The sequence below is a fragment of the Homo sapiens genome, chromosome 10 (assembly GCF_000001405.40).
Source record: "Homo sapiens chromosome 10, GRCh38.p14 Primary Assembly".
Lineage (NCBI taxonomy): Eukaryota > Metazoa > Chordata > Mammalia > Primates > Hominidae > Homo > Homo sapiens.
The window spans coordinates 44,369,111-44,389,241 of record NC_000010.11 but is presented as its reverse complement, the minus strand read 5'-3'; the positions used below and the strand labels follow the sequence as shown (position 1 = coordinate 44,389,241).

General features: G+C 52.4%; 1 protein-coding gene across 5 annotated transcripts, besides 6 other annotated features; it reads left to right on the top strand.

Moving 5' to 3' along the window:
• Nucleotides 2,407–2,616: a silencer, noted in NCBI's record as "silent region_2340". NCBI's record gives its function as "represses an Ori minimal core promoter by ATAC-STARR-seq in GM12878 lymphoblastoid cells {active_cell/tissue: GM12878}" and the evidence as "EXISTENCE:reporter gene assay evidence [ECO:0000049][PMID:35858748]".
• Nucleotides 4,145–19,077, top strand: CXCL12 (C-X-C motif chemokine ligand 12). 5 transcript variants are annotated; one of them, NM_000609.7, is made up of 4 exons: nt 4,145–4,297; nt 8,362–8,479; nt 10,519–10,605; nt 15,899–19,077. In NM_000609.7, the coding sequence occupies exons 1-4, from the start codon at nt 4,237–4,239 to the stop codon at nt 15,912–15,914; spliced, it is 282 nt and encodes a 93-aa protein (NP_000600.1). In that variant the 5' UTR covers nt 4,145–4,236; the 3' UTR covers nt 15,915–19,077. The 5 variants fall into 5 exon arrangements, with proteins under 5 accessions (NP_000600.1, NP_001029058.1, NP_001171605.1 ...); NM_001033886.2 differs by lacking the exon at nt 15,899–19,077 and adding an exon at nt 13,210–13,375; NM_001178134.2 differs by lacking the exon at nt 15,899–19,077 and adding an exon at nt 11,337–12,175.
• Nucleotides 4,510–5,201: an enhancer, noted in NCBI's record as "H3K27ac-H3K4me1 hESC enhancer chr10:44879489-44880180 (GRCh37/hg19 assembly coordinates)". NCBI's record gives its function as "activates a minimal SCP1, AML or CMV promoter by ChIP-STARR-seq in naive H9 embryonic stem cells {active_cell/tissue: H9 hESC(naive)}" and the evidence as "EXISTENCE:reporter gene assay evidence [ECO:0000049][PMID:30033119]".
• Nucleotides 5,202–5,895: an enhancer, noted in NCBI's record as "H3K27ac-H3K4me1 hESC enhancer chr10:44878795-44879488 (GRCh37/hg19 assembly coordinates)". NCBI's record gives its function as "activates a minimal SCP1, AML or CMV promoter by ChIP-STARR-seq in naive H9 embryonic stem cells {active_cell/tissue: H9 hESC(naive)}" and the evidence as "EXISTENCE:reporter gene assay evidence [ECO:0000049][PMID:30033119]".
• Nucleotides 5,896–6,589: an enhancer, noted in NCBI's record as "NANOG-H3K27ac-H3K4me1 hESC enhancer chr10:44878101-44878794 (GRCh37/hg19 assembly coordinates)". NCBI's record gives its function as "activates a minimal SCP1, AML or CMV promoter by ChIP-STARR-seq in primed H9 embryonic stem cells {active_cell/tissue: H9 hESC(primed)}" and the evidence as "EXISTENCE:reporter gene assay evidence [ECO:0000049][PMID:30033119]".
• Nucleotides 9,919–10,865: an enhancer, noted in NCBI's record as "H3K27ac-H3K4me1 hESC enhancer chr10:44873825-44874771 (GRCh37/hg19 assembly coordinates)". NCBI's record gives its function as "activates a minimal SCP1, AML or CMV promoter by ChIP-STARR-seq in naive H9 embryonic stem cells {active_cell/tissue: H9 hESC(naive)}" and the evidence as "EXISTENCE:reporter gene assay evidence [ECO:0000049][PMID:30033119]".
• Nucleotides 17,870–18,418: an enhancer, noted in NCBI's record as "OCT4-NANOG-H3K27ac hESC enhancer chr10:44866272-44866820 (GRCh37/hg19 assembly coordinates)". NCBI's record gives its function as "activates a minimal SCP1, AML or CMV promoter by ChIP-STARR-seq in naive H9 embryonic stem cells {active_cell/tissue: H9 hESC(naive)}" and the evidence as "EXISTENCE:reporter gene assay evidence [ECO:0000049][PMID:30033119]".

Genomic DNA, 20,131 nt, shown 5'->3' with positions numbered 1-20,131 from the left:
CTGCCTGGCTCTGTCATGTTGGCCGAGGCCCTCAACTCTGAGCCTTGGGCTCAGAGCCCATGGAGACTTGGGTTCCATGTCTTCAAAGCTGAGACAGTGGGGCTTATACTGCAAGCTCGGTCTTTGAAAGTACCAAATTGACAAATTCAAAGAAGGCAAACTAAAGTCCTATGTAAGTCCACTGTTCAGTATCTTCCTAAGGGCCTTCTCTGGGCCAAGTGGTTTCACACTGACCAAATCCACCATGTCAGCTAATGTACCTGCTGCACAGATGACATCAGCAAGGCGGTGAGGATTTGTCTTCCTCACCGGGCTTCCTGGTTCCTGGAATAGGCCATCTGCTCCTGAACCCCAGGGCCAGGTGCCAAAGGAGTGAGGGCAGATGTGGGTGGTTGGGAGGGGTCCCTCCAGGACTGCACGGGAGCTGGGAGAGGAGCACTCCTGGAGGGGTGGCAGGGCCAAGGGTATCCAGGGATCCCATAGGGCCCCACAGTCTTCCTATGACCTGAGCGCTCCTGGACCAGCGTTCTCCAGCCTCACCTGGCAGGCAAGTGAGGAAGACATCGTGCCTCCCTTGTGTGATTTTATGTTTCAGCACTTTGGAGCCAAATACTTATTTCAAGAGGGGGATTGCGGTGGGAGGGTGTCAAGTAATACAAAAAATATTCTTCATGTAGAAAAGGTTTTCAAATTTCAGATCTATTTGTATTGCTGTCAAAATTTTTGCTATGTCTCCAGCCACCTAGACTAGCACTTGCTATGTTAGCTTCAATTGACTTACTTTTTAAAACTTGAACCATATATTAAAAAAAAAACCTGAGCAATATCTGAAATATCTGCCTTTACTGTGCTAGTTATATTTTTTCTTATTACTTTAAAAAAATAAATACATAAATCTATATTTTATAGATTTCAGAGTACCACCTGAAGTCACCTTGTCAATTACACACTGTACAACATGGATTTAGTGTAAACCTTCAATCCCTACTGGGAACCCTCTTGCAGGCCCAGCCGTTGGGCCCTGGAGGAGTGAACGGCCCAGGCCAGGCAGAGGGGGGTAGGCAGATGCTGCCTAGGGGTCTAGAGACCATAGCACACATGCCAGCTCAGGAGATGCCCTGCCTTTAACTCAGCAGCCAGACCCCTGCCTCCCACCTTGAACTGTGCTTAACAAGGCATCCCTGAGGAGCCGCTGTGCCCTGCATTACCTGGTAGAGCGGCACAGAGTCTGAAGACTTCAGGAGAAGGTGGGGCTCTATGGGGAGTAAGAGTCCCCAGGCAGAGAAAGAAAGGTGGAGCCTTTTGAGCATAAGCATAAGCAAAGGACACAGGGAAAGGGGTGGGGAACTTCGCTGACCCGAATTTGAGAGGTACCCCTGTGGCCGAGTGAGCTGGAGACATGTCAAAATGGCCTGGTCTGATGGCCGCCTGCCTGTGCAGGCGGTGCGGAGGCCCCCAGAGTGTACAGGGTTTTATTTTATTTTATTTACATATTTACATATTTATTTATTTATTTACATATTTGTTTATTTATTTATTTTTGAGACGGAGTCTCGCTTTGTCACCCAGGCTGGAGTGCAGTGGCGCCATCTCGGCTCACTGCAAGCTCCGCCTCCCGGGTTCACGCCATTTTCCTGCCTCAGCCTCCCGAGTAGCTGGGACTACAGGCGCCCGCCACCACGGCCGGCTAATTTTTTTGTATTTTTAGTAGAGACGGGGTTTCACCGTGTTAGCCAGGATGGTCTCGAACTCCTGACCTCGTGATCCGCCCGCCTCGGCCTTCCAAAGTGCTGGGATTACAGGCATGAGCCACCGTGCCCGGCCAGGGTTTTAAATTTCAATCGCCAATTGTAAAATTGTGAGGCTTGTACCTAAAATATGGATCCTTGGCCACCCTATTTAAAATCCTAACTCCCACCCCACTTTCCTCTGCTCCATCTTCCCCTAGCATTTAATGGCCTTCTAAGTATTTTATGCGTAATTACTTATGCTTAGCGCCATGTGCTTCTAAACGTTTAGTGCCTTTTCTAAACTACTTCAAACATGTAGCCCAGGTCTAGCACATAGTGGGTGCTCAGTAAGTATTTAACGAACGACTAGCGGAAGGGATGGCCCCATGGGTGCCACAGTAGCTTCTGTTCTGGGGCCTCAGGGCGCCTGCGGGAGGGGCAGCGGCCAGGCCTGAATCCCTGGTTCGCCCTCGACTCAGCCCACGCGGGCCTTTCAGGCTTCTGGGACAGATCCTAGGTCCAGCTGCCCACCTGATTTTGTGGCAAAGAAAAAAAGAAGAAGAAGAAGCGAGAGGCGATGGCGTTTGCTTTGGCCAGATTTAAGGGCAAGCGAGGCTGCGCGCGGCTCCCGCAGGGTCGGATCTCCGAGCTCCAGGGCGCCCCTCCACCCGGGTGTAGATTTCCCGCGGACCCCTTCGCCCTCCCGGGTTTCATCAGCTGCGCAGGAATGGAGCTGGCCAGAGCTCTGGGAGCGGGGAGGGAGGCGCCGCCACCAGAGGGCGCCGGAGCCCCAGCGCTGCGGCCGGTGAGCGGCCAGGCTCCCCGGCCCAGCCCAGCAAAGGCCTGGGGACGCCCGACGGCTGCCTTCTTCACTGGACCTCACTGCCTTCAGTTCTTTAAGAGCAGGGCCAAGTCAGTGGGGTTCCCGGCTCCAAGCCCAGTGCCCAGGGTGGGTGGGTGGGTGGGTGGGTGGGTGGATGGATGGATGGATGGATGGATGGAGTGCCGGCCCACAGCCATCTAACGGCCAAAGTGGTTTTGGAAAAAAAATGCACAGAAGACACCTACTCCCACCAGCGGAGTTCCGGAGCCCTCGCAGCCTCCTGTTGACCGCTCCCGCCTAATGCAGCCGCTGACCGCCCACTCCCCGACGGCCAGGACTCCCCAGGGACAGGGACGTGTCCCCAGGGCAGGCCCCTGGATGGACGCGGCGACTGACCCCACTTCGCTGGACGCTGTGCTGGGAAGGACACAGAGAGGTGGCTGGGGCAGCCTGCGGTCACAAAGCGAGGCCCAAAGGGGCGCTCTCCTCACCCCCACGTCTCCTGGGTGCCGACCTGCACCCTCCCTTCGCCACCGGACTGGGGCCATCTGGGATGTCTCGGGGGTATCCGGAGGGCTAAGCACCGCCGAGGGACGGCTCCGTGGGAAGAGTTTTCTGGACCCAGAAGGCAGACGCCAGTAGTACTGTCCTAGGAGTCGGAGGTCGGGGTGGGGGAGTTCTCAGCTCTTTGGGTCGCACGGAGCTTTTCTTGGGTAAGGCAGTAAGTACTTAGGTTTAAAGGACTTACTTACAGCTACCATTTATTGAGTACTGTCTGCTTGTCAGACACGATGCAGAGAATTTCGCGGCGTGGGGCGGGTCTCATTGAATCTCCCGTCCCACTCCGCGGGGTGGGCCTGTGATTAGCTCATTTCACCATTGAGAGGTCGGAAGTACAAAGGCTACATTCGCTTTTACTGAGAGCCGCCGGCGCCTTCTGCTTTGTTTGTACAGGCGAGGAAACTGAGGCTCGGCTGGTGGCGCCGTGGGCTTGGAGTCCGAGCCACGCTGACTGCAAAGACGGGTCTCATTCCCGCAGATCGAGCTCTGCCGGCGGCTGCGCCGCAAGCCGGGCAGGTGGCGAGCTTGAGCCCCCACGCACAGAAAGCAGGACCCCCTCGGCTGCCTTGGGCCGCCACCGCCAGCAGGCCCTCCGCCCGGGACTAACTTGTTTGCTTTTCATTGGTTCTCATTCAGTTCCCGCCATCGAAAGGCCCCGTCCCGCAGCTTTCCACGCGCGCCCCACTTTACGCCTAAGGTCCTCAGTCTCTCCAGTGGGGCCCTGTCACAGGGACAATAAGCGGCCCTCCAGCCGGCGTCGCTCAGGCTGCGGACCTCACTGCAGACCGGGCCAGCGGTGCGGGGCCCAGCGGAGCCTGAGAAGGTCAAAGGCCGGAGCGCACTGCGCCTCGGGAGCACAGAGGGAGCGGAGGAGGGGCGAAGGGGATGGGTGGGGGGTGCCGCCGAGGGAGTCGCGCGTCAGAGACCCCGGCCACGGCCAGCACTCGGCTCCGGGCCCGCCCCTCACCGCGCGCCCCGCCCCGCCCCGCCTGGCTCTCCCCTCTAAAGCGCCCGGCGCGCGCCTCCCACCGCCGCACTTTCACTCTCCGTCAGCCGCATTGCCCGCTCGGCGTCCGGCCCCCGACCCGCGCTCGTCCGCCCGCCCGCCCGCCCGCCCGCGCCATGAACGCCAAGGTCGTGGTCGTGCTGGTCCTCGTGCTGACCGCGCTCTGCCTCAGCGACGGTAAGTGCGCTCGGCGGGGAGGCCCTGGCGAGGCTCTGGGCTTCGGCTCCCGCCCGGCGCAGAGCCGCGGCTCCTCTGCCTGCGCCCGCAGTTTGCGCCGCCCGACACAGTGGGGGTGGAGGCAGCTCGCTTAGCTGGGCGCTCTGGTGCGGTGTCGCGTTCAAAGCCCTACTTTTGCGCCGAGGGTTTGTGACCTGCAGAGAGCGACCGCCTGACCTCAAGCTGGCTGCAGAGCGAGGTCAGCCGGGACAACTGGGCAGGAACGCCCCAAGAGAGCGTTCGGGACTGGCGCGGGAAGGCGCGAGGGTGGGGAGCCGCGGACCCCAGACCCCTGCCTGCCCACCCTCCACCCACTGCCTTCCCGCTGCGGGCTCGGTTTCCACAGGCGAATGGGCTCCGAGGTCCTGCTGCGCACAGTGCTGGAGGTCGGGCGGTGCATGGCGAGAGCGCGCTTTGCAAAGTTCGCCTCATGCCGCGACTTGAGGCTGTGAGGTCCGATGCAGCCGCGCAGCCTCCGCTCCCTGCGAAGCCGATCCTCTCCCCACACCCTCGCGGGGCTCTTGGCCAGGCGCGGGCGGGCTGCGCGGCGCAGCTGTCGGGCTTGTGCCACCCGCCAGGCCGCGCTTCTGCACAGCTCCGCGGTCCGCAGCGACGCGGACCTGGGCGCGCGTCCAGCCGCTGTCTTCCTGTCTCTTCTCGGGTTCACCTGAGAGAGGCCCAGGGACCCTCCGAGCCTCACACGCCCCCTCCCCAGCTCCCCAAACACACCTGCAGACAGGCTCTTTTGTCACCAGCTGGCCAAGCGCTTTGCCCCAGAATGAGAGCTGCAGCAAAGTTCAATCTCCAAGGCCCTGGGCCACTGGGAACCGTGGTGTCCCGTTTCACTGGGAGAGGGCTTTTTTCTTTTCTTTCGCTGAAGAGAAACTCGCTGCGCTGTCACAGGACACCGATGCAAACCAAAATAAACTGTTGCCTCTGAACACACAAAACAAAACCCTGTGGCTCAGGCCGCTGAGCTTCCTTGGCTGTGAAGTTTCCTGCAAAGAGTTGAAGGACACTCTGAGTGCTCTTGCAGCCGCGGGCTGTGCAGGCCCAGCGCGCCTCGAGCCCTTGGCTGGGTTGGTGCAGACGTGGCCCCGGCGTCCTAGCTGGCTTGGACTGTGCGCTGGTGTGAGCAGGACCAGCGCAGCTGAGTCGGGCTGGAGAAGCTGGGCAGCCTGGGGTCGTGGCGGACTGCCTAAGTGTTAAGGACACAGACTGAAGGCAATTGGGAATGTTCGTCGTTGATGAAAAGTCCCTGAGGCTGTGTCTGCACACTGACCCCCCCCCCCCCCCGCAAGTCATGGGGCATGTTTCTAGTTTTTATTGCTGGATATTCTTCTGTTCCTGTAAGGTCTCTGGTTTGGGCAGTTATTGACTGATTGGTGGGATGAGCGCGGAGGTGTCACAGTGCGCCGCTCTGGGAAATGGTGCTGCCCCCTCCCCGGAGGGCTGGAGAGAGGATTGGAATGAGGAACCTCGGTCTTTGAGTTATGGGTGCAACTGACCTGGGGGAAGCACAGAGACGTGGGGTTCATCCCAGACTCCTCCTGGCCTGGGAAGGGTGACATGGCCCTCAGAGTTGCCCCATTGGCAGCCAAGTAACCAGGGCAGGAGCCTGGGCTCCAGGCAGATCTGCTCCTTACACACATCGCCAGAATGTTTTGTTTTGTTTTGTTTTCCCCTCACCTCACAGTGCCTATGTGCCCCCTATCCCCACACTTAGTCCTCAAGCTGCACTACAGAGAGAGCTTGGCCAGGGGTCCTGCCCCTCCCCCATTGGCTGACTTCCGTCAGGCAGCTGGGCCCTTGGGTTTCCCGGGCTTAAACTCAGGGTGGGCCCCCTTCCCAAGCCTGCTTGGAGGGGCCAGCTGGGCTCCTGTCTCTGCATTAGACTGGAGGGCTTTCTGAAAACTCCTGGAGCCAAGCTCACCCGGTCCCAAATCCGGGGTACCATCAGAGCCAGTCAGGACTCTTGCCGGTACACGGATTTACATCCAGAACGGTTGGGAAAGTTAGTCTTACTGACAAAAAGCTGGAGGAAGGAGCACATGAGGTACACACGAGACCATGTTCTTTTGGTAAGCACACCTGGGGGCTCTGTCACTTTAAAAAGACCTGTTGAAATTCGCTGCTTGACAGGCGGGCCTTAGGTCCTGGGAGTAGAAGCAAGAATTGCTTTTGAAGGAAATGGATAATCCCAGGGGGTGGAGGGGGAGAGGAGAGAGAGCCTGTGTGTTGAGCTCTGAATAGGCTCTGATTTCTGGCCTCATCACCACTGCTTGGTTGGGGGGCCAGAGGAGCTTCTCTCCTCTGGGCGCTGGAGAGTCACAGCCCCACCCATCCCAGCGGGGGCGGCTGCAGCACTTGCCCTTGGCTGCATATCTTCAAGCTCACTGTTGCCGGGAGGGGGCTTGTGCCTCACTACCGGCCTCCTATTCTCCTGCTCCACCCCCAACCCACCCCCTGCCTCAGCTTGGAAGGGCCCAAAAGAAATCCAGGGAAACCTGGAGGCACAACACTCAGGAGCGTTTAGCTCCTCAGTTACCCAGGCTGCAGGCCCCGGCCCTGGGGGTGGCTTTCCCAGGTGATCTGGTTACAGTGCAGTGCTGACTTCCCCTGCAGGGTCCCAGTGCAGCTGCTGGAAGCTGGCCCCAGAGGTGCCTTTCTGGAGTTAGATCAGGTGTAACTGTGAAGGCTGCCTTAGGTCTCTCCAGTGCCATGAGTCACCAGCACCCTGATGCTTGGCTTTTTCCTGGTTTTCAGGGAGTTGCATTTGGTCCTGGGGACAAGGAAGTGGGGGGACAAGTGGTCCACTTTTCCTGCAACTTGGTGGCTGAATACACAATGCAATTCCTAGTCCACATCATCCCTCAATTGATTGCAGTCTGTAGAAAAAATAAAATAAAATGAGCCCCTTACTCAAGATTTCCTCCTACTTCCCCAGCATTCTTTCCCAAAGGTGCAGAATTTCAGAACCACAGAGGTCTCTCAGAACTTTGTAAACAGGCAAACTTAAAAAAAAAGAAAAAAGAAAAAAAATCTCTGGACCAAATATTCTTAGACATATATTTAATCTCTGATGAAAGGATCCACAAGTTCAAATAATTTGGGGTATTAAGTGGGGCTTGGATAAAATCTTCAAGGAAAAAAGAAAAACAAAAAGCACACACAAATCCCAGCCCTCCAGGGCTTGCAATCCTATATTTAAAGGGTGAGCAGTGGGTTCTGCAGGAGCCCCTTGCTAATTTACACTAATGAGTGTCAATTATGGCATTTTGTAAATTGGTGATTTTGCAAAGATCTTAATACAATTCCTGAGGCTACAGCATCCCTGCCTAGGCAATGAAAACCACATTTAACTCCAGCTCCACTAATCTCTAAGCCTTGGGGAAAGTGCTGGGCAGAAGGTGGGTCCTTGGCCTGCTCTCAGGGGACTCACAGGTAGGAAGCCAGCCAGGATTCTTTTGTGCCTTCCAGAGCTTTAGGTGAATGTGAGGAGGGGTCTCTGGGGTGGGGGAGGGCAGCATTCCTGAGTACTACTGTGCTTCCTGGCTAGAGGCCTGTGCCAGAGGAGAGAGGCCAGGGAGCCTGGAGCCTCTTGTCCCCCTTTCTTTTCCCTGAGTAGGGAGATCTTTCTCAGTTGTCCCTTGAGGAATTTTTTTTACAAAGAGTAACTGGAAATTTCAGTACCTTGGACTGAAACCGTTATCTACTATAATTACTACCTTTATCTTGAGACACTGAGCAGGTGGCTTCTAATTTAAACTCCCGCCTCATCTAGGCTCCGGCTCTCCCCAGGCCTGTTGGGCTCCTTGCCCTGTAGAAGCTGAGCCTGAGCTCAGCCAGCACTCACTGTGTTGCCTGAGGAGATGGCCTTTCCCAACATACACCAGTAACCTGGAACTTACCCCAGTGATGCCGTCTCTTGATCCTTAATCGCTGCACCAACTGCTGCAGCCCAGACACACATTACCAAAATCTGGCAGGGTAGTAAAGTGCCTTGTTGTCCTTACCTCTTCTAGGGAAGCCCGTCAGCCTGAGCTACAGATGCCCATGCCGATTCTTCGAAAGCCATGTTGCCAGAGCCAACGTCAAGCATCTCAAAATTCTCAACACTCCAAACTGTGCCCTTCAGATTGTGTAAGTCTTGAAATTGAACATCATCTAACGAACATAGTTGCATCTAACGAACATAGTAACATCTAACCCGAGTCTTATTAAAGGTGTAGAGGTGACAAGCCAAGTGTCCAACCTTGAACTTGGCATAATTAGTGGCAGCTATTCTTATCATGAGGACCTTTAGTATGCCACCAGGCATTAATTTTAAAAGCCGCTCTTGGCCTGGGCACCCTGCTGTGCTCGTAGTAGTTCTCTCTTCTTTCCAAACCTGTGTTCTTCAGCACAGCACAGCTGGATGCTGGAGAAACTATGGGCTTCACCAAGGTTTTGGCTGAAGCCTAGTAAATTAGCCAGCCCTTAGCTAATAACAGTGATAACTGGCCTGCCAGTTTCGGGGATCTGATGCCCTACATTAACTCACAAGACCCAAATGCAGTTTAAGTCCTCTTTAACCATTGGGTGAAACTTCAACATTTTCAGCTCACTTGCCTGTATTTTCTCAAGTACAACATATGAGGTTTTGGTGTTATTTGGTGTGGATGGCAGCCACTAACATTTGATTTTATTCATTTGGGAAACAAAGACCAAAATCACACATCCACAAGACAGGAAGATCTCAGCTGGGTACAGAAGACCGGGAGAAATGCGGGAAGAAAGCCATGTGCTTGAAAGCCCTCTCATGCTCAAGAGGTCCTGTGTCTGAACACGGGGAAGCGAGGGCTCAGGGAGTCTCCTGGAGAGGATTTGATTGCTCAGAAGTTCTAGTGCTAAAAATGGGGTGGGGAGACAGCAGTTGGAACCAAAGCTACAACTTTCCCAAGACTTTTCCACCCAACACCAAATGTTTTTACTTTTGATTTTAGAAAACTGTTTTTAGTTTTGAGTTAACCCTTTACTGCCTTGAATGTGTTTGTTATTTACAGTATGTTTTAGGGCCCTAGAAAATGAATGTTTTTTCTGTACTTTGCCTACAACATGATACTTTATCTCTTGTGAAGAGTATTTTAAAGATGCTCAATTTAGCTACCTTGGACCTGCTTTACAGCACTGATCATGCTGGTTTACTGGCCTGGAAATGCACCTTGAAGTTGAAGATGCCAAATACAATTCTCAGGTCTGAGCAGACACTAAATTAACAAAGAATAGGCCCCAGATTTGGACCCCAATGTGGGTTGCTCCGAGCCACACCCATCTCTGCACCCCTCTTCACCTAATGGACAGGCTGCTTGAAGACTCCCTGGGTGCCCCTGAACCACTGTTCTGGGGCTTAGCTGTCCTCAAGACCCTTAAGTACTTGGGCTGCATGAGATTACCTGGCACCAAAGGGCTTTCTGGCAAGAGATTCAGAGAGATGAAATCAGGCCTTCCCCAGGAGTTTGCATGTAGGGAAGCTTTTAAGAGTGTGAACTTTTAAAAAACAAATGAGACCAAGAAACATTCAGTGAACTTGTAAAATCTTTCTAGAAACTATTTTCTGGTAAGCCACCTGCACTGCCCCTCCCCTCCCTGGCTGGTCACCCTCCCGGTCAGACCGCGGTGACTTCTGGCAGGCCTCCTTCCTCCAGGCTTCCTCATGCCCATCCTTAAGTCGGCCCTATATCTATCAAGATGACCCATCCAAATAAACCTCTGCTCTGTTGCTCTCCATTCTCCCCTCCCCAGGTACCTAGAGCATCCTGTCGTCCCCTTCCTCAGTTTCCTCTGTATGCTTTGATGACCCCCCTGGCGTATTTGCTCCTGATTTTCCCTTCCCGTTTATTTACTCTCCAAGCTCCTACTTATCCTTCAAAGGCAGCTCAAATGCTCCCTTACATGAATTCCCCTGCACTGCCCCGGAAAGACTTCTGTTCACATTTCCATGTCTCTGCAATGGAACTTCCTGCACTGCCAGCGCTGAGCTTTCCCCAGCACACCGCGAGCACCTCTGGAGCCTGAGCGTACCAAGTGGAGCACGGGGTGCCAGCGAGGGCCCTAGATGGGTGTTGGGGGAGCGGATGCACACGTTGCAGCCGCGCCTTCCTCCTGTGCAGCCGCACACTGTTGCCATTCTGTTTTCACAGAGCCCGGCTGAAGAACAACAACAGACAAGTGTGCATTGACCCGAAGCTAAAGTGGATTCAGGAGTACCTGGAGAAAGCTTTAAACAAGTAAGCACAACAGCCAAAAAGGACTTTCCGCTAGACCCACTCGAGGAAAACTAAAACCTTGTGAGAGATGAAAGGGCAAAGACGTGGGGGAGGGGGCCTTAACCATGAGGACCAGGTGTGTGTGTGGGGTGGGCACATTGATCTGGGATCGGGCCTGAGGTTTGCCAGCATTTAGACCCTGCATTTATAGCATACGGTATGATATTGCAGCTTATATTCATCCATGCCCTGTACCTGTGCACGTTGGAACTTTTATTACTGGGGTTTTTCTAAGAAAGAAATTGTATTATCAACAGCATTTTCAAGCAGTTAGTTCCTTCATGATCATCACAATCATCATCATTCTCATTCTCATTTTTTAAATCAACGAGTACTTCAAGATCTGAATTTGGCTTGTTTGGAGCATCTCCTCTGCTCCCCTGGGGAGTCTGGGCACAGTCAGGTGGTGGCTTAACAGGGAGCTGGAAAAAGTGTCCTTTCTTCAGACACTGAGGCTCCCGCAGCAGCGCCCCTCCCAAGAGGAAGGCCTCTGTGGCACTCAGATACCGACTGGGGCTGGGCGCCGCCACTGCCTTCACCTCCTCTTTCAACCTCAGTGATTGGCTCTGTGGGCTCCATGTAGAAGCCACTATTACTGGGACTGTGCTCAGAGACCCCTCTCCCAGCTATTCCTACTCTCTCCCCGACTCCGAGAGCATGCTTAATCTTGCTTCTGCTTCTCATTTCTGTAGCCTGATCAGCGCCGCACCAGCCGGGAAGAGGGTGATTGCTGGGGCTCGTGCCCTGCATCCCTCTCCTCCCAGGGCCTGCCCCACAGCTCGGGCCCTCTGTGAGATCCGTCTTTGGCCTCCTCCAGAATGGAGCTGGCCCTCTCCTGGGGATGTGTAATGGTCCCCCTGCTTACCCGCAAAAGACAAGTCTTTACAGAATCAAATGCAATTTTAAATCTGAGAGCTCGCTTTGAGTGACTGGGTTTTGTGATTGCCTCTGAAGCCTATGTATGCCATGGAGGCACTAACAAACTCTGAGGTTTCCGAAATCAGAAGCGAAAAAATCAGTGAATAAACCATCATCTTGCCACTACCCCCTCCTGAAGCCACAGCAGGGTTTCAGGTTCCAATCAGAACTGTTGGCAAGGTGACATTTCCATGCATAAATGCGATCCACAGAAGGTCCTGGTGGTATTTGTAACTTTTTGCAAGGCATTTTTTTATATATATTTTTGTGCACATTTTTTTTTACGTTTCTTTAGAAAACAAATGTATTTCAAAATATATTTATAGTCGAACAATTCATATATTTGAAGTGGAGCCATATGAATGTCAGTAGTTTATACTTCTCTATTATCTCAAACTACTGGCAATTTGTAAAGAAATATATATGATATATAAATGTGATTGCAGCTTTTCAATGTTAGCCACAGTGTATTTTTTCACTTGTACTAAAATTGTATCAAATGTGACATTATATGCACTAGCAATAAAATGCTAATTGTTTCATGGTATAAACGTCCTACTGTATGTGGGAATTTATTTACCTGAAATAAAATTCATTAGTTGTTAGTGATGGAGCTTATAGACGTTTCTGGTTTATATAGTTAAGCCTGCCTGCAGTCAGGTGTCTGAGACCCCTTCTCACAGCCCATGTGTGACAGTGTATGGGCTTTTCTCACGAGCAGATTAGATCTGCAGCTCAAGTTTTTGGATCTTTTTTTTTTTTTTTTAACCCGATTGAAATAGCAGTGCTGGTTTTCTGAAGAATAATATTTGACTCACTAATTCGTCTTCCCTCCCTCCTCCTCCTTGGTTCTCCTAACTTCCCCATGTAATCCCCAGAGACTCAACCCTAGTAATATCAACCTTTTACATTTTCCCATGTAAAAATCCCATGACTCCAGGCCATGGTTAATATGAAGCTTTCACAGGGACAGGTGGCCTCACCCCATAAATCATTAAATACCATTCAGCTTGAATCATTTTAATGTGACAGTCACGAGCCAGTTGCTCTAATAAAATTCTGCTAACCAGCTCTCTCCCTTGCTCTCCAGAACAATCGCATTCATTCCCAGGAGTGTTCACAGGCGTCTAGAAAGGGGAAGGTGGGACCACTGCCTTTTTTCTCCTCTTCTGAATGGCAGTCTGAACCTGGGGCCTGCAGCCTCCAAAACGTTATTCAATTTGAAATGCAGACATTTCTTAGAGAAAGCTAAGAGTTCAGCCCTGCATTGAGAAGAAGAAAAAGTCCCATGAGAACAGGGCAGGGTGGGGTGACAAGGACCACGATGGCCAGCCTGGCCCTGGGTGTACCCTGAGATGTGGATTCCTTGTCCCCAGTGGGAATCAGGTTCAGGTTGGCAGATTGGCAGTCGCTGTAACCCATTCACAAAGGTGTTCTAGGAGCCCATTGAACATTTGTTTGAATGGAAGGAAATGTCCAATTTATTTTAATGAATTACTGATAAACAGTGCTTTGACCAGGGGCCTCCAGGCCTGAGACTGAAGGCACAGTTTAACCAGTACACGGGCCAGTGTTAAATCTTATGCAGACTGAGACGAACTTTTGTTTATTTCCACATTATTAATGGTTCTACTAATTTTATCTAAGGGGGCGCAGAGAAGAAAAAGTGGGGAAAAAAGAAAAGATAGGAAAAAAGAAGCGACAGAAGAAGAGAAAGGCTGCCCAGAAAAGGAAAAACTAGTTATCTGCCACCTCGAGATGGACCACAGTTCACTTGCTCTCGGCGCTTTGTAAATTTGCTCGATCCTCCTCCAGGACAGACCCCCATGCAGACTGGGCAGGGGCTCAGACTTCCGTGGGGGAGCAGTGCTTTGCTGCCCTGCCAGCCACACCGGCTTCTGTATTTATGTGCTTTTTAAGGCCCTTGTTGGTCTGCTAAGTTATGAAGAAAGTAGTTGTGCAGAGACTGGGGCGGGGGTCTGTGACGCGGAGCCTGTGTGCTCAGGACTCTGTCCAGAATAGCCTGGGAGCTCCAGGAATGCCCAGGTTGCTGAGCCCCCCAGCCCGCCCTCCACTTCCTCTCTTAGAAGGCCTGCGCTCACTGGGGAGCTCACCAGCTCCACACACTTGCAGTCTGCATTCCTGTGGAGACCAGGCTGTGGCCACCTGGCCAGTGTGCAGGGCAACCTGCTAGCAGAGGTGGCCTCGCCAGGAAGGGGGTGTGCCACCCCTCTGTGGCCCTCAGGAAAGGTGAAAACTGACTGACCCTTAGGAATGGGCCCTGGCTTTTTCCAAATACCCATTGCCTTTCCCTCCAGCACTCTGCCACCTGGGAAGGGGCTTCTTCAGCCCCTCCTTCCTGGGTTGTGGGAGTGGCTTTATCCCCAAGCCCGGGTGGGTTTCTGCAAACTGTGTGGGGTGAGCCCGAGGGAATGCTGCATTCTCAGAGAGCAGATGTGGAAACACTTCTCAGGGAGCTCCTCTTTGGGCAATTCTCTTTAGAGTCTTTAAACGGGTCCCCCACGTGGAGGACAGATGTGCTATGGAACTTTGCAAGGGTCCTGAATCCCTGGGGATCCCAGCCTGTCCCCTCCCGCCTCCTGCGTGATGGCGTGTGCTCCAGCTGCAGGGCACAGCTGCCTCTGTCCTCATTCATGGGAAATACCTTATCTGCCTAAAGCAAATACCACTTAAGCTCTAGGAACTTTCCTGCACCCTCCTTCCCTGCCCATGTAGATGTATGTGTGAGATTTTTTGGCAAGTTTCTCTAATCTGGACCGGGAGGATGGAAGAGCAAGGACCCCATTTCAGTAGTGCTCGGAAAAAGGATGCGTTGAATTTCTCAGCCCTTCTCCACCTCACATAAACACCCGCCCACCCTGCACCCGGATCCTGGGTCATAATTTTAATAAATGCAGAAAGAGAAAGTGGTTGGAGGATGGAGCACATGGAATTCAGGAGAAAACCCACAAAGACCCCTGCATGTCAGACACACCCTGTCCCGGAGCGTGGTGTCCCCTTGAGCTTTAATGAGCTCCCTGTGATCACAGCCATGCCTTCTCCTCGTTGGGGAGGTGTCCTAGGATGCTTCAGCCAAAGACCTTTGTTTCCCGCTGCTATCTCTTTTACCTGGACAACTCTCCTGGCCCACGTTCCTCTTGCCAGCACTGGGGGTCACAGGCCTGAGCCCTGGGTACAGGGGTGCCCTAGTCTTCTGCCCTCCCCACCTCTTAAGGCACAGAGCTGTTGGGTGGGCTGCCTGGGGCTGCCATCCTTCCCGTGGAAGCCAGTAGCCACTCTAGTCCATGGGACTCTTGACAAAAGCGCCCCGAGAGGGCAAACCTGTGCCCCCATACTCGCCTGCATTCTTCGGACTCCACATGCAGCAGGGCTTTGTGCCTGGGGAGGGGTGGCCAGTCTGTCCTGGTCAGTATGAAAAGCTGTTGGCCCCCTAGGGACAGAGGGCCCAGCTAAGGCTGCCTGAGGATACAAACTGCTTGCTATCCCACTCCTGGGGAGCAGGGTCTGCAGGGACTGAGAGTGGGTCCCACCTTGAGAACGCATGCAAGGTCCGTCCTGTCTTGATGTCTTGATGTGACTGTATGTGCCCTGGGGGCTCACTGTGGTTTACAAGTGGCTTGTGAAGCTCCTGGGAGCAGGTGGTACACCCAGTGCTGAAGACAGGGTCGCCGTGGAAGAGTGAAGAGCCTGACCGGGATTCCTGGTGGGTTGAAACTAGGAAGTGCTCACACCAGTCAGAGCCAAATGAGGGGTGCGCTATGGTCACTGCTCTGTCCAGCATGCGTTCCTCCTGGGAGGTCCTGGCCACCTGTGCACCCACCCCTGTGCCACCTCCAGCAGTCCCACCTGGGGCCACCTACGGTGGCATGGCCCCTGGCTGAGAGGCCCCGAGGGCGAAGGGTTACTGGAAGCCACGAAAGTGCCTCTTGGGACAGCCGAGGCCAGGATGCAGGGCAGCAGCATCCTGAGCCTCAGCCCCACGCCGGTGCCGGGTAAGCAGTGTGCCCTGTCCCCGTCGTATGACCACTCTGATGGGCCTCTCTGTGCCTTCGTGCGTCTGCCACGCCCAGTGCTTGCCACGTGTCTGTCCTCTGCTTTCTGCCATCCATGGGTCCCTCCGCTTCAGCCTGGCTGCGTCTCGCACTCCCCTCCCGTCTGTTGTCGCAGGGCCTCTGAAGGGAGATGCATGGCCAAGGTGGCAACTTGGAAGTAGGGATTGGCCCCAGGGCCTCCGCGCAGGCCGCTGTCCTTCTGGAGCTGGCTGGGTGTGGGGGGAACCTGCCTTAATGGTGTTTCCCTCTGTTCTTGTCAACAGGAGGTTCAAGATGTGAGAGGGTCAGACGCCTGAGGAACCCTTACAGTAGGAGCCCAGCTCTGAAACCAGTGTTAGGGAAGGGCCTGCCACAGCCTCCCCTGCCAGGGCAGGGCCCCAGGCATTGCCAAGGGCTTTGTTTTGCACACTTTGCCATATTTTCACCATTTGATTATGTAGCAAAATACATGACATTTATTTTTCATTTAGTTTGATTATTCAGTGTCACTGGCGACACGTAGCAGCTTAGACTAAGGCCATTATTGTACTTGCCTTATTAGAGTGTCTTTCCACGGAGCCACTCCTCTGACTCAGGGCTCCTGGGTTTTGTATTCTCTGAGCTGTGCAGGTGGGGAGACTGGGCTGAGGGAGCCTGGCCCCATGGTCAGCCCTAGGGTGGAGAGCCACCAAGAGGGACGCCTGGGGGTGCCAGGACCAGTCAACCTGGGCAAAGCCTAGTGAAGGCTTCTCTCTGTGGGATGGGATGGTGGAGGGCCACATGGGAGGCTCACCCCCTTCTCCATCCACATGGGAGCCGGGTCTGCCTCTTCTGGGAGGGCAGCAGGGCTACCCTGAGCTGAGGCAGCAGTGTGAGGCCAGGGCAGAGTGAGACCCAGCCCTCATCCCGAGCACCTCCACATCCTCCACGTTCTGCTCATCATTCTCTGTCTCATCCATCATCATGTGTGTCCACGACTGTCTCCATGGCCCTGCAAAAGGACTCTCAGGACCAAAGCTTTCATGTAAACTGTGCACCAAGCAGGAAATGAAAATGTCTTGTGTTACCTGAAAACACTGTGCACATCTGTGTCTTGTTTGGAATATTGTCCATTGTCCAATCCTATGTTTTTGTTCAAAGCCAGCGTCCTCCTCTGTGACCAATGTCTTGATGCATGCACTGTTCCCCCTGTGCAGCCGCTGAGCGAGGAGATGCTCCTTGGGCCCTTTGAGTGCAGTCCTGATCAGAGCCGTGGTCCTTTGGGGTGAACTACCTTGGTTCCCCCACTGATCACAAAAACATGGTGGGTCCATGGGCAGAGCCCAAGGGAATTCGGTGTGCACCAGGGTTGACCCCAGAGGATTGCTGCCCCATCAGTGCTCCCTCACATGTCAGTACCTTCAAACTAGGGCCAAGCCCAGCACTGCTTGAGGAAAACAAGCATTCACAACTTGTTTTTGGTTTTTAAAACCCAGTCCACAAAATAACCAATCCTGGACATGAAGATTCTTTCCCAATTCACATCTAACCTCATCTTCTTCACCATTTGGCAATGCCATCATCTCCTGCCTTCCTCCTGGGCCCTCTCTGCTCTGCGTGTCACCTGTGCTTCGGGCCCTTCCCACAGGACATTTCTCTAAGAGAACAATGTGCTATGTGAAGAGTAAGTCAACCTGCCTGACATTTGGAGTGTTCCCCTTCCACTGAGGGCAGTCGATAGAGCTGTATTAAGCCACTTAAAATGTTCACTTTTGACAAAGGCAAGCACTTGTGGGTTTTTGTTTTGTTTTTCATTCAGTCTTACGAATACTTTTGCCCTTTGATTAAAGACTCCAGTTAAAAAAAATTTTAATGAAGAAAGTGGAAAACAAGGAAGTCAAAGCAAGGAAACTATGTAACATGTAGGAAGTAGGAAGTAAATTATAGTGATGTAATCTTGAATTGTAACTGTTCTTGAATTTAATAATCTGTAGGGTAATTAGTAACATGTGTTAAGTATTTTCATAAGTATTTCAAATTGGAGCTTCATGGCAGAAGGCAAACCCATCAACAAAAATTGTCCCTTAAACAAAAATTAAAATCCTCAATCCAGCTATGTTATATTGAAAAAATAGAGCCTGAGGGATCTTTACTAGTTATAAAGATACAGAACTCTTTCAAAACCTTTTGAAATTAACCTCTCACTATACCAGTATAATTGAGTTTTCAGTGGGGCAGTCATTATCCAGGTAATCCAAGATATTTTAAAATCTGTCACGTAGAACTTGGATGTACCTGCCCCCAATCCATGAACCAAGACCATTGAATTCTTGGTTGAGGAAACAAACATGACCCTAAATCTTGACTACAGTCAGGAAAGGAATCATTTCTATTTCTCCTCCATGGGAGAAAATAGATAAGAGTAGAAACTGCAGGGAAAATTATTTGCATAACAATTCCTCTACTAACAATCAGCTCCTTCCTGGAGACTGCCCAGCTAAAGCAATATGCATTTAAATACAGTCTTCCATTTGCAAGGGAAAAGTCTCTTGTAATCCGAATCTCTTTTTGCTTTCGAACTGCTAGTCAAGTGCGTCCACGAGCTGTTTACTAGGGATCCCTCATCTGTCCCTCCGGGACCTGGTGCTGCCTCTACCTGACACTCCCTTGGGCTCCCTGTAACCTCTTCAGAGGCCCTCGCTGCCAGCTCTGTATCAGGACCCAGAGGAAGGGGCCAGAGGCTCGTTGACTGGCTGTGTGTTGGGATTGAGTCTGTGCCACGTGTTTGTGCTGTGGTGTGTCCCCCTCTGTCCAGGCACTGAGATACCAGCGAGGAGGCTCCAGAGGGCACTCTGCTTGTTATTAGAGATTACCTCCTGAGAAAAAAGGTTCCGCTTGGAGCAGAGGGGCTGAATAGCAGAAGGTTGCACCTCCCCCAACCTTAGATGTTCTAAGTCTTTCCATTGGATCTCATTGGACCCTTCCATGGTGTGATCGTCTGACTGGTGTTATCACCGTGGGCTCCCTGACTGGGAGTTGATCGCCTTTCCCAGGTGCTACACCCTTTTCCAGCTGGATGAGAATTTGAGTGCTCTGATCCCTCTACAGAGCTTCCCTGACTCATTCTGAAGGAGCCCCATTCCTGGGAAATATTCCCTAGAAACTTCCAAATCCCCTAAGCAGACCACTGATAAAACCATGTAGAAAATTTGTTATTTTGCAACCTCGCTGGACTCTCAGTCTCTGAGCAGTGAATGATTCAGTGTTAAATGTGATGAATACTGTATTTTGTATTGTTTCAATTGCATCTCCCAGATAATGTGAAAATGGTCCAGGAGAAGGCCAATTCCTATACGCAGCGTGCTTTAAAAAATAAATAAGAAACAACTCTTTGAGAAACAACAATTTCTACTTTGAAGTCATACCAATGAAAAAATGTATATGCACTTATAATTTTCCTAATAAAGTTCTGTACTCAAATGTAGCCACCAACAGTTTGAAATTAGTGTTACTACTTGGAATTTTCTGGACGTGCTTTTTTTCCCCACAAACCCAAAACTGAGGGTTGTGTAATCCTGGCTACAGTGGTTCATGGAAAACAGGGCATTGTAATCATGCTAATCACAGCTGAGAATTCTGGAGGCATACTTGCCTCTTCTGGACAGCTGATCCTTAGCAGGGAAAGGTGCTCCCTTTTCTCTGAGTGTCTTTGATTTTGCTAGAATTGCTTCTGAAAGGCCAGCCTGTCCTCCACTCCACAAGGGATGGTTTTGTGCAAGGGTCTCAGGTATTTCTTGACAGCTGTGAGGAGGGAAGCTTCCACTCTGCCCTTCTCAGTCCTGGGAGAATGCAACAGAGGTCTGGCCCTGATGGTAATTGCTGAGGACCAGCACTCTGTGTGTTTCCTGCACTGCACAGAGACCTTGCTGGAAGCCAGACACGATTCTCTCACCTAGCAATGGCTAGCCAGCACTGTCCTGGACATGGGGCATAGGAGATGAGCCCAGCAGACAGGTTCTGGTCCTCACAGAGGTCAGCCCTTAACACTCTCTAGCACATTCTCTGTCATCCACAGTCAACTTTGTTAGAAAGGAGAGTCAGCACAAAAGTTCCGAATGTCTGAGTCAGATTGTCCGGTCCTCCAAGCCCTCTTCCCCATTGGTCCAGATGTGATCACATCATCCCATGCCAAATCTTCCCATGACTTAATGGGATGGCCGTCATGTGGGTGCTAAGCTGCAGATGGACTGGGGAAGGAAGAAGGGTTAGAGCAGGCCGGGAAGGGCAGCGTGGTGTCAGGGGACCTGTGCAGGTGTGAAGATCAGTAGACTGGGGCTTGCGTCCCATTCACTCTCTGCTCCCTCTGTGATTTGAGATGCATCCCTTGATCTCTCTGAGTTCCAGTCTCCCAGCTGCAACACTGAAGCTTATTACTGCCAACGGTCAAGAGGATTAGACTGGGAGAGTGTGTGGAAGAAGCTAGCTTTTGAGGGACAGGACAAAGCCCGCCCCTCCACCCTGAAAGTTCCCCATTTTGC